The 13,140-nt window shown below is 46.5% G+C and overlaps 1 annotated feature.

Moving 5' to 3' along the window:
* Positions 12,617–12,856: a silencer, noted in NCBI's record as "fragment chr9:91392997-91393236 (GRCh37/hg19 assembly coordinates)". NCBI's record gives its function as "represses an EF-1alpha promoter that drives an FKBP-Casp9 reporter gene in an ReSE screen in K562 erythroleukemia cells {active_cell/tissue: K562}" and the evidence as "EXISTENCE:reporter gene assay evidence [ECO:0000049][PMID:32094911]".

Below are 13,140 nucleotides of genomic sequence, written 5' to 3'. Positions count from 1 at the left end.
ATGTTCAGGTCTCCCTGGGAAATTCCTGGTGAATGAACACTGCTTTGCTGTGGGTCATAGAGTTTTGTGACTCTGTCACCCTGATTGAAAACTGAGTAACTCTCGTTTCCATTTTTGGGATACTTCCACTATAATTAACCTGAGAGAGTAGATTCTGCTAGTGGCTAATTAAATTTTTGCCTAATAATGATAGAAAGCTCATTATCTCATTCTATCAGGATACTATTTATCCCAGCATTTCTGTACTTTTAATGACATATTTTGGAATAGATCAAACTTACAAAAAAGTTAACAGAATAATATTTTTTAAAAATCCCATTTCTCCTATGATGGCTTAAATTTTACCATCATTTTCACCATCACACTTTCTTCTATCCATCTATAATCATAAATCACTCATCTGTTTTGGAACCATTTGTGAGCATGCTGCAGATACCCCTAGATACTGCAGTGTGTTTTCCCCAAAGACACTCTCCTACATAAACACTGCACAACTCCTCTAATTGAGAAACCCACACCAATACGTTTGCATCCAACCCACAGACACCATCCCCATTGTGCCAGCTTTCCCAGCACCATCTCTACTTCCTTTCTGGCATATAATTCAATCCAGGTTTGCACGCCATATGCAGTTGTCCTGTCTTTTCAGTCTCCTTCAGTCTGGAGCAGTTCCTTGCCCCTTCTCTGTCTCTCATGTCCTTGGTAGTTTTAGAGAAACTGAGGCATGGTATGTCCTCACAACAGACTCAGGCCAGGTCTCCATGATGGAAACCATGCAGTGCTCAGTGCACATGATGCGGGCACTTCCCACTCCTGCAGAGGGTCGCCTTCATCACCTCAGAGCCTGCCAGTCCTCTCCTCAGCAAAGTCAGCATTTCTCCTTTGCAATTGATGATTATGTTGTGGATGATGTACTGAGACTACAACTCTACCCTTTTCTCGTCAACTCCCACTTACTAGCCACAACACCTAGTAATGACTTCTCCCTGAATCACCACCCTTTTGGTGATTTCCAAGTGATAATTTTGTAATTCCATCATTCCTTTTGCATGCATTAGTCAGCATTCTACTTAAGGGAGAGGCTTCTCTTTTTTCCATTTACTCATTCATTTATATCAGGGTGGACTCATGGGGGCCTATTTCCTTCAATGGGCTATAGTCTACTACTATGATAATTTATCTTGATGCCCAAAATGCCCAAGATAAGACCAGTAGAGACCTCCACAATTTTAATCCTGTATCTTTTAAACACAACTCCATCATTAAAAAGCTCTGAAAACCCCCTCAGCAATTTTGTTCTTGTTCTCTAAAAAGTGAAAAGTACTCACATCATGAATGATCAATTCTCTAGCCTTCTTTTTGTAAACAGGAAAGGTTGAAGTGGGAATTGGGGCCAATAAACTATTGGTTTTTCTAACTTACACTTTCAGGATCTGAATTGCCAAAAGTTACTTCTCATTAATGTAGGATTTGGGAGATTGGAGATCTAAACCTGAGCATTAAGGAGGCTACCAGATTCCTCTGGTAGACCAGCTGTCCACCCATAAGTAGCCTGCCCAGTGTGGCCTCCAGGTCATTTCAGGCCCAAATAGAGCAAAGGACCAGCCCTGATGTGGGTGATGTACAGGGTATCATTGTCGGGAGACACTCGGAAGATCTACCTCTTTCCCACCCACAGTGTCCATGCCAAGCATAGGACCTGGCAGTATATGGACAGCAGTCTCCTCTTGAAGGCTGTTCTCTAGCTCTTTTTAAACTTTGTGGTAACAAAATTGGTCACATAAAAATATGCATGCTACCAAAAGAATTTTTTTTTTGAAGACAGAGTCTCACTCTGTTGCCCAGGCTGGAGTGCAGTAGCATGCAATCTCAGCTCACTGCAACCTCTGCCTCCTGGGTTCTAGCCATTCTCCTGCCTCAGCCTCCCAAGTATCTGGGGTCACAGACGTGTGCCACCTTGCCCAGCTAATTTTTATATTTTTAGTAGAAATGGGGTTTTGCCATATTGGCCAGGCTGGTCTTGAACTCCTGACCTCAAGTGATCCACCCACCTCGGCCTCCCAAAGTGCTGGGATTATACTCGTGAGCCACCATGCCTGGCCCCAAAAGAATATTAATCAAGGTTCGAATTAGCTAATTCATTCAAAAAATATTTCTGAGTCTGATCTTTGTAAAGCATTGTTCTGGGTACTAGAGACAGATGAGTGAACAAATCAAAGTCCTTGTCTTTGTGGAAATCAGGAGATAAAATGACCATTTAAAAAAACTGAGCAAGTTCACATGCAGATGACAAGTGGTGATATGCAGATGGAAAAACTAAATGGGATGAAGGGGACAATACTGCTGAGTGTGTGTGTTTATGGGAGGTGGTGGGGTGCTTTCCGTTAGCACCAGGGAAGGTTCTGCTGAAGCAGTGCTATTTAAGGAGAGACTGGAGGACTTGAGATCAACTGGTGGAAGAATCTTCCAGGGAGAGGGGTCAGCAAGGGTGAAGTTCTAGAAGTAAGCTTGGATCTCATGTGCCCAAGGAACAGAGAGGGGCCAATAGGCAGGGAGAATTGGGTGAGGGTGCAAGTAGCTGGACATGAGTTGGAAGCAGTAACAGGGATAAGCACAGGTTGTCCTGGAGGCCACTTTGTAGGTTTTGGCTTTTACTCAGAGTGAAATGGAGCATCATGGGAAAGCCTCGGGGAGGAGGTTATGTGGTCTGACTTAGGCTTTAAAAGATTGTCTTTGGAGGCTGTATTGAGAATGTTCTATGGAAGGGCCGTGGCAGGAATTGGGATGCCAATTAGGAGCTGTAGAAATAATCCCAGCAAGAGGTGGTAGCACCTTGGACATGGCTATTGACGTGCAGGTGGTGACAAGTGGTCAGATTCTGTGTATATTTTCAAGGTAGACTCAAAGACTTTGCTAAAGCTTTGGCAGTGGGATATGAGAGAAAGACAAGCCTTGTGTATTTGCCTTGGTTACTGGAAGGAGGGAGTAGCAATTTCCTAAGATGATGGCACTGCAGGATAATCAGATGAATAAATGGGATCAGTCTGGATGGACTAAGCTTGAGGCCCCTGGCAGACTTCCTGGCGGAGCCATCAAGGAGGAAGTTTAGGAGAGAGGTTGGGCTGTAAATAAAGATTTGGACATCATCAGCATACAGTTGGTGTGAAAAGCTGTGAGACCAGAAGCGAGGACCTAGGGAGTGAGGGTGAATAGAAGAGAAAAATAACCCTCTGAGGGCAAGCTCTGGACCATTCGAGAGTGGCCCCTGAGAGAGGAGAGCTGTGCACAGGAAAAAGGGAGGGGTGCCTCAAGCACAGAGCAGTCAGCTCCATCATACATGTGACAGGTCGAGCCCATAGCAGCCAGGACTTGGACACTGGATTGAGCAAAGTGGAGATCTCGGATAACCTTGACAAGAAGAGTCTGGTGACGAGGTGGAGACAAAGCCAAGATGGAGTTGGTGTAACAGATAGAGAAAAAAAAGGAGTAGAGAAAAAAATGGGGGCAACAAATATAAACAATATTCAACAAAATGTAGGAAATGTTTCCTAGCCCTTCCCCAGCGTGCTATCAGGAAGGTGAGCTCCACTTCCTACCTGGCTCTCAGAGTAGGGAGCCACCTTCCCATTCACTGACAGCCACAGCTTTCTCTTTAGATAAAAGAAAGAAAAAGCCTGGAAGAGGGGGCTGACTGCTGCTGCTGTAGCACAGGGCTGGGGTGTGTATGCAAACGGCACACAGAGAGAGATGCTTGATTACTATCAGCCTGAGTTAAAAATACAGAATTTTAAATGGTGGTTAGGAAGACTGCAGCAAGTCCTGAAGTTTCCATATTGACCAATTACATATCAACTCATTTTTGATTTTGAAAACAAGTTGCTATTAAGTGTAGGCACGTTTCCCCATGTCCATTGCTGACCTGTCACGTGTGAGGGGACCACTCTGCAGCCACGCTTTCCGTACACCACTTTTTTCCTTTGCCTTTAAGACAGGCTCTCACAGGAGCTTAGCCAAGCCTGTCAGTTTGGAGGAGAAAACTAGAAACTAGCCAAGTATGCCGTCCTTCACAAAGTATTTCACCCTCACACTTCAGCTCGAGCTCACACAGAATGTCGCCCTTCTGCTGAGAAGCCATCCATTTATCTGAAATGTCATTAGCTGATGTCACTCGGATATGAAAGGGAGCAAGTCAGGGCAGGGCTTCACTGGACTTTCCAAAGACATGTTTGACCCCACAAGAGGGAGGTCAGACCAAGGGGTAAAAAGAGAGGGGGAGAGAAAACACACATGCCCACATGCACAAGTGGGTTTAGGTCCAGAGGATTTTAAATGTAGTTCAGATATGCAAATTAATTTAAATGGAAGGAAGCATCACCCATGGTAAGATGGGAGACCCCCTAAGAACCTGCTCATTTGGGCCTGGAAGGCAGCTTTGCCATGTCAGTGAAGACACAAGATCAGAGACAGGCAGCCCTCTGACAAAACAGAAGGTTCTGTGGATGTCACGTGGACGTGCTGTTACTGAGATGGAACTGAAAACCAGGATTCAGAAACATCCAGGGCGATCACACAGCTTGCTTTCCTAGGACCACCCGTTTCCCCTCTGCCCACTCCCACCTTCAGTGTCTGTCCTCACCTCCTGAGACTCACCAGCATCAGGGACAGTGGTCAGTCCCTGAGCAACATAGCCACGGGGCCCTTGGAACCCCACCCTTTGGGGCAGGTTGAGCCTGATGGGCTGTTTCACACTGTGCTCACCCAGTCTGGGTGCCTGTTCAGAGCATTCAGAGCTGTTCAGCAATGACCCCTTTGTGTTACTTCCAAACCGTAGGGTTGTACTTGATCTCAATTGTCGGTGTGTTTTTTTTCTTTCGTTTCTTAAGAAAGATCTGGGGATGAATAGAAAAAACATACCACGAGTTGTACTTTTAGTAGTATTTACTTGTTTGAGCCTCTAGGATGTTTGTTTCATAGTCTTTTTCTAGTGGGCAGCACATCTCTACTAGGTTTTTAGCTCACTTTAGATGGAGAGGACGCCTTGGACCTCCTGGTGCTAACAGAATCCCAGAGGCAAAACCACTCAGATGTGGGGGGTGGGGAGTTGACTGATTAATCATACAACATCACAATTTTTACAGATTTTTATTTCTCCCAGGTAATTATTTAAATGAAATATGTCCAAGTTCCTCATATCTCCTCACCTCCACCTTTCCAGCATTTCTGTAGTGTATAACATACGCAGAAGCCGTCTTATTACAAAGTTTTGTTCGGAACGTTAGCAGAAATGATTACACAACATTATATGCAGTACTCAGAGCATAAACATTGGGTGCTACCACCAGCCAGGATCAGTCTGCAAAACCCATTTGCTGTATCCACATGCAAGATGTGGCAGCATGTGATAGTGTGTGAATTAGACCCCACCATTTCTCTTATCTAATCATAACTCTCAATTTGCTTGATTTGATGTTGGCATAAAAACTACCACTTTCTGTATTTCCAGGCACGAGTTTCCAGGGGCTTTGTGAGGCCATTTGCTCCCTGGTGCTCTGGAAATTGACGGGGTTAGCCATTGGTAGAAGCTCCCTGTTCACTATTCAGTTGGCGGCTGCACCCCACAAGTCATTCCCAACACCATAGCAGAGGAGGGGATGTCATCCCACGTTCCAAGATGGCCACCATTTCCTCTCTTATTCCATCTGAAATAGAGGTCAATTACCATACCTAGGTTCCACTGTGGATCCCTCTGTCCTTGGTCCTGCAACCTCAGGATACCTGCAGGGCTGGTGGATGGGGAGGGATGTTCTCCTTGCCATCAGCATCCTGTTTCTCTGAGCACCACCCAGCAGCATTTCTCCCCACTGGCAAAGGCCCAGTTGCAGTTCTGCGTATGTCTTGTTCTCCTTCTTCCTTAATTACAGAACCTTAGTCCTGTAGGAGTTGGCAGTGTATGAACTTGAAACAATATTTTATAGCCTTCTTTGCAGATAAGAGCAGCCATGTGACTATATGTGACCAATAATACGTATGGTGACTCCATGACTATTTTCCCTCTTGTTACTACAAAGGAGTCTTCTGCTGGCACTGGCCTTTGCACTTTGCCGTTTCCTCCTTCTTTGAGGGGGCATGGGCTGTGGAGAAGGTTCAGCCATCTTGTGGCTCTCTGCCAACATCCTGGAGCCACACTCTTACCCTGAGCAACCTACCCCTGGACTTCATGACATGCAAAAGAAAAAGAAGATCTATGACTCAAGCTGGTACATTTGCGTCTGTTACTAGGATCTAGGATATGCATGGAGCCCTTGCATAATACAAACCATCCATGCCATCCTGACCCGCAGTCACTGAGGACCGGGCCCCTTCGGGGACACTCACATCTCTCTTCAGTCCTATTCCACGTTGGTTGGGCTGTGACTTGCTCTGGCCACTGGGCAGTCCCTTGGCCTACAGTGCTCTGCTGACTTCTGTGTCCCTTCATGTAAGGTGACAGGAACCACTGAGGTCTCTTCTGCACTTTCTGAGAGCAGCGCAGAGCTGTGCAGAGACAGCACTCAGGCTCCCCAAGGATCCCTGTCTGCATCCTCCCAGGATGGTAGCTCTGGCAGGGCCTGAGGACTCACCACCACAAGTCTCCAAGTCAGCAGTGAGGTGTCCAGCTTACCTCCTGGCAAACAACCTTCTCATCAAATGGCAGGTGACCTGCCTATCCCTGAATAGCAGGTTTTGGTTCTCTGCCAGCCTGAAGAATTATTACAAAAACCAATCACAACTTCACCCTGGAACCAAGAGGCAGCTCCCTCTCTTGTTACTACAGAGCTTGCCTTCCACAGCCCCTGGCTATTCATGCTGTTCCCAAGTGCAGCCCCCATGTGGCCCCACATGGCCTGTGGTATCCTCCTCCCCTGGGCTTGATTCTACATGCTGTTCATCTGACCAGCCCAGCACTGGGTGTGCTGTATTCGTCCATCTGCCTAACCAAGTGGAGGGAATCCCTCTCTCACCAACTGATTGAGGAAGAGGAGATTAAAACCGAATCCCCCTTTACTCCCCCATGGGAGGAAGTCTCTCCCCACCACTGCTAACTACACACACCAGTGACTCCCCTCCCACACTACCTCTTTTTCCTGGGGAGCAGTCGGGGTCTATGACAACAGGCCAGTCCTGCCTCCTCCAGGAGCCGCACAGTAGACCCTGGTCACTGGCAGCTCACTGGAGAATGTGGTGAACGTGGGACCTTCGCTTTTAGTTATAACAGGAAAAGCCCCTTATAGAGAAGAGAAACAGCCTCCTACTGACGTGAGAAAAGAGGCTTAGAGGAGACAAATAGGGCTGCAGGTCAGGATGGGGGTGTGAAATGACAGTGGCCCCTTTAAACCTCTCCCTCCTCCTCCATTTTCTTCTTTTGTAAAAATATCAAGCCCAGCAAATCTCCTATTTGGGAGAGAAAAATAAAAGAATTAGGGAAAAGTAAAGAGGAAAATAGCATGTGAAGCACCCCTTGCTGTCTCCCATTCTTCAGCCATCAATCAGACAACTGACGCTGTGACTATTTCCAAACTTGAGTCATCTTTTTGTTACAAAAAGGTTGGCCACAGACCTGGTTTGGAATTTTCACTATTCAAGCCATTATTTGTTGTGTCAGCAAAGCAGTCAATTGTGTTCAGAGTCATCGGTTTGTTCTCTGAGTCTAATTTGAAAGACATGAAAACACAAAAGTACTCGGAATCCCTAATTAGGTACCTCTGTGCAGGCATTCCCCAATGAAGCTACCTTTTGATGGAAACCATCCGCACAGAAACATTGTTCACTGTTGGTGGCCATTCATGCCTCTTTACGCTCTTGTCCATTTGTGAAAACAGGGCTAGCCTCTTCCTGCCCCCAGGCCCACTGTAAATCCAGTCGCAGCCTGGGTCTCATCCTCCAAACAAGAATGAGCCAGTCGGACCATGCTAGAAAGGGATGGGCGTTTTGTTGGGATTTAAAAAGGAGAGTGCATCTTGCAGACCACACAGCAGAAGGAAGCTGGACTTGCTCAGCCAGTGGTTGGGGTCTTCCCCTCCACTCTTCCCTTCCCCATTCTTCATTTCCAGCAGCTGCCCCTTGCCGCACTGCTCCTTCACCCACACACTTTTTTGTTTTTTGTTTTTTTGTTTTGAGAAGGAGTTTCACTCTTGTTGCCCAGGCTGGAGTGCAATGGAGCAAACTTGGCCCACTGCAACCTCCGCCTCCTGGGTTCAAGCAATTCTCTGCCTCACCCTCCTGAGTAGCTGGGATTACAGGTCCCTGCCACCACGCCTGGCTAATTTTCTGTATTTTTAGTAGAGACCAGGTTTCATCATCTTGGCCAGGCTGGTTTTGAACTCCTGAACTCGTGATCCACCCACCTCAGCCTCCCAAAGTGCTGGGATTACAGGCGTGAGCCACCACACCTGGCCCACCCACACGTTTTATAAAGTCTCCTCTATTGTCCTGGGCAGTCTAATGCTGGGTGCAGCCTGCTATGACCTTCACAGTGAGGATAACACACAAGATGTAGCTTCACAAGTCCTCTTTGATCAGCAGCCATCCAGCTCTGGTCTGCCGAAGCCTCCTGTTTCCCAGGCAGCTTACTCCAAGGACTCACCGAACAATGCAGAGACAGCAGGAGCCTGTGGAGGGGGCCTCCTGCTGGCAGATAGAACATGCAATCTGGTTCCTTGTGCATACACATGGAGACAGCGTCCTGTTTTCAGTGGCAATATTGTTTTGCAAGCCCCACTTGCTGTGTTTTACCCACACATAAGAAAATAGGCCAAAAAGTCTTCTGGATAACTGTCTTCTTTCATCCCTCTTCTGTTGCTTATTACTGCCTGCCGCCTTTGCCCCTCAGCTGTGCCCTGTCTCCCTCCCACTCACACAGTTTCCGCCTGTCCTCATTTCTTCTCTTTTTTGGGACACATTTAAGATAAGGCCTCACTGTGACTCATCCAGCAGTTTTGTCCTTGGGCCAACCCAACTTCAGGCCATAGGTTATATAGTTATCACTCAACAGCTAGGGAGGGCTCATAAGAGTTTACCACACACTATGACGGGAGGTGTCAACTGAGCATCTGAATACAACAGAATGCTGAACTAGCAGGACTCCCCTGTCATTTGAAGAGAAATCCATTCAAAGAGAAATCCATTCAAAAAGAAATCCACTCAACATCTGGCTATCAACCATCTGGACAGTGCTGCAAGGAGTAAGGGAGTCTGTTATTGCCAGTACTCCAGGAGGAAGGCCAGGCTCAGGAACGATGGAGGGTGGATACTTCATTCTGGGAACCCTGTGAGGCTGTGGACCAGAGATAGTTCCTCTTAGCACAGAAACTGCTCATTTAAAAAAGTAAATTAAAAAAAAAAAAAAAAAGCAATAGGCATAGCCGCCCTGCTCTGAGCAATGTGGAAAAGTGCAATGGTTTTTATTCTCACTATGTATCAGGATCACCTAAAGAACTATGACTGTAGATATTGATTATCAACAGTTGCTAATATCTCTAAAAAAGAGACAACCATTCTGTATCTCTTGCTAAATGGACACACCCCCCAGGTTATATTCTTAATAAAAATTGAAACCTGAAGGAGATGAAGCCTCTAGATCTAACTAGATCTATCTAATTGGATCTAACTACGAACTAACAGGAAATATGTGGGACAGAGGAACATGATAATGACAACACCTGGATGCAAAACTGATAAAAGAAAGCATGATTCACCCTGAGAGCTACTCTATCCTGAGAGGATAAATGACCTGTTGTCTCAACAAGTGTATGCAGAGACAGGCAGAGAGAAGAACTATAGATTAACAATGAAAGAGCCTTATTTGGATTTTGATTCAACAAACAACCTATAAAATACCATTTTATTTTATCCAGATAACTAGACATTGACTAGGTATTAAGGAATTATTGTTGTGTTTTTCAGGTGCAATAATGGTACTGTGTTTGTGTTTCTTAAAAAAAAATTGTCTTACATTTTAGGGTGGTATTCTGACATGTTTAAGATGAAATGCTAGGAATTTTGAGATTGGCTTCAAAATAAGCCAGGACTGGGGAGAGAGCAGAGTGAGGGTGAAAATTGGATGGCCAGGAAAACAGTGATGTTTCGGTATAAGTATTGTCCCACGTGACGTTATATTTTTATTAAAAAGTCATCCATTTTTTACCTGAAATTCAAACTTAACTGAATGTCCTGCATTTCTATTTGGTAAAGCTGGCAGTTTGCTAGGTAAAACGCACTTGATTGTATTGTTCTCTCTACTGTTTTGTGTACTTCAAGTAAATAAATGAGGTGAAGGTTTTTAAAAAGCCTCCTCCAACCCCCTCCCTGGAGATCTGAAGTTATAGGAGTGGTGGTCCTTTGTAGCTGAGGCAGGTAGAGTGGTAAATATGCGTCATTCTTTAGTCAGCACCTCTGGTGGTTCTGATGCAGACAGATGCAGGTTGTTCTTGGGGACACTGGCTGAATGAGATGGACACAGGCCTGTAATTCTGGGCTTAGGGGCCAGCTCTATGGTTTTGGGACAAATTACTTATCAGCTCTTGAGCCCTCATGGAAATAATAATAATAATAATAGCCACTGATGAGGTCCTTATGAGGAGTAAGTGAAATTATAAGATCTGAGCTGTAAAGCAGCATCCAAGTGATAATTGGGTAATCAATAAATGTGAAAAGATGAAGTTTACCATCGTCATTTTCTAAAGTGTAGTTTGGGACATAGTATTTGCCTTCCAACATTAAATACAGGCCAAAAAAAGTTAATTATCAATATCAAAAAGAAACACTGTGGTTGAGAAAGATGTCTCAAATTGAGAAATAAAGCCACTTCTTAACAATTAGGAAACATAAAAAGGACAAAAACAAGTTTTGAAATAAAAGTGTGAAAAATAAGTCTTCGTTAATAGGCAGGAATCCTTTTAATAAACACCTTGCAGCCGGGCGCGGTGGCTCACGCCTGTAATCCCAGCACTTTGGGAGGCCGAGGCGGGTGGATCACGAGGTCAGGAGATCGAGACCATCCTGGCTAACACGGTGAAACCCTGTCTCTACTAAAAATGCAAAAAATTAGCCGGGCGTGGTGGTGGGCGCCTGTAGTCCCAGCTACTCATACGGAGGCTGAGGCAGGAGAATTGCTTGAACCTGGGAGGCGGAGCTTGCAGTGAGCCGAGATCACGCCACTGCACTCCAGCCTGGGCGACAGGGAGAGACTCCATCTCAAAAATAAATAAATAAATAAACACCTTGCACTTATCCAGGAGCAGCTGAACATGTTGCACAGCAGATCAAGCATGACCCTGGGGTTTTGTCTACACCTCTCTCCACCCTATGCCTGAGAACTCCAAATGAGGAGTCCATGGGCTCAAAGTTAGGGAACGTGGGCTCTAAAGTTTACCTGTAACTTCCTAAAGTCAGAGCTCTCTAAGCCTCAGGTTCCTTGTGTGTAAACTGGAGATGAAACATGGTTTCCTTCAAGGATTGGAGCATCTAGTGGACTAATTAAAGTGAGCAATGTCAGGAACAATGGTCATATTCCACCCTCTTGGAGGAAACTCCCAATGGTCCCATCCTGGTGGGTGGCATCCATGTCCCCAGGGAACTTGGCATCCAGGCCCAGGGCTGGAGGGAGCAAGCCTGGGAGAGGGGTGGACTCATAGTCCAGCAGAAGCCTCTGATCTCTCATTTATCTATTCCATGTGGCCAAGGAGATAGGTTCAAAAGAAGCCTGAGGATGAATATTCTCAGTGACACCAGATATTAAGAGGCACAGGTTAGGACTTCCCTTTACCCATGTTCTACTCCACTGTTCCACTATTGGTCTTTTTTTTTTTTTTTTTGAGACAGAGTCTCACTCTGTCGCCCAGGCTGGAGTGCAGTGCTGCAATCTCTGCTCACTGCAAGCTCTGCTTCCCAGGTTCAAGCAATTCTCCTGCCTCAGCCTCCCAAGTAGCTGGGACTACAGGTGCCTGCCACCACACCCAGCTAATTTTTTGTATTTTTAGTAGAGACAGCATTTCACCATGTTGGCCAGGATGGTCTCAATCTCCTGACCTCGTGATCTGCCCGCCTCAACCTCCCAAAGTGCTGGGATTACAGGCGTGAGCCACCACGCCCAGCCTATTTGTCTTTTATTCTTCCTCTTCAAGATGGCTCTCGACATCACTTTAGTGAGTGTCCTTTTTGTGAAAATACATGTATTGAGAGACAGGAGCCCTGAGCAATTGGCAGTGACCCTGTGTGTGTCAGCCACAGCCCAGGGACAGAGTGAGGGTCAGCACTGATCGTGGCCAAATGGTGGGGAGGTTTTCAGACAGGCGTCAATTCTACATGTGGCTGCAAACAACTGCGTCATCTTGGTTGAATGTCTCCACTTTCTACCATCCAGCTTCCCCGCAATGAAGTGTGCAGAACTCACTGCTGCAGGCCAGGCCACACTGTCACTATCACTAAGATGACCGTGCCTGTTCCCAGGACTGTGCACAGGTTACTCCCTGAGATAAGGAGGTGGGCATCCCCTGCCTGTTCCAGGAGCTCTGAGGTGTTAGCTGCCCGTTCCTTCCAGGAGAGTGGGAGAACCCGGCTGGGGAGGGTGTGAACCCCACAAAAGACATCTCTCCCCAGTTCTCACTTCCTGATGCTTGGAGCCAGACCTGCCTTACACACACACACACACCCCACCACCACCACCCATGCTCTGAGGGTAGAGCTGCAGGACTGGCCCCTCCTTACTGACTTGAAGACAGGCCTGAGAGGTCTCCCCAGGGCCTCACTAGCGAGCCACCAGCTGGGCCTGCAGCCTGGGCCCCTGACCCCAGCCAGGGCTCTTCCTCCCCAGCTTCTCACCGACTCAGCGGGCTGGGCTGGGGATATTAAAGGGAATTTTAAGAACAGGAAATGATCATGCATCCGGTTGAACTCGCCTGCTGTCCTTTTTGGCTGCTCCTAATTCTACCTTCCGGCCTCAGAGTTTGCCTCCTGGGGTTTGTTTCTCTGTGCTCAATATTTTCTGCACAGCGACCTGAATTTCATTATGTGAGGCTCAGAGGGCTCTGGCCCCAAATAGTGGGGGAGAAACAGAGCGAAAAAACACAAAAGGTTCCTGGTGGAGTTGCTGATTAGAGTAAG

Source organism: Homo sapiens, chromosome 9, assembly GCF_000001405.40.
Source record: "Homo sapiens chromosome 9, GRCh38.p14 Primary Assembly".
Lineage (NCBI taxonomy): Eukaryota > Metazoa > Chordata > Mammalia > Primates > Hominidae > Homo > Homo sapiens.
Note: the sequence above shows the minus strand (reverse complement) of the source record. Positions and strands in the feature narration are given on the sequence as shown.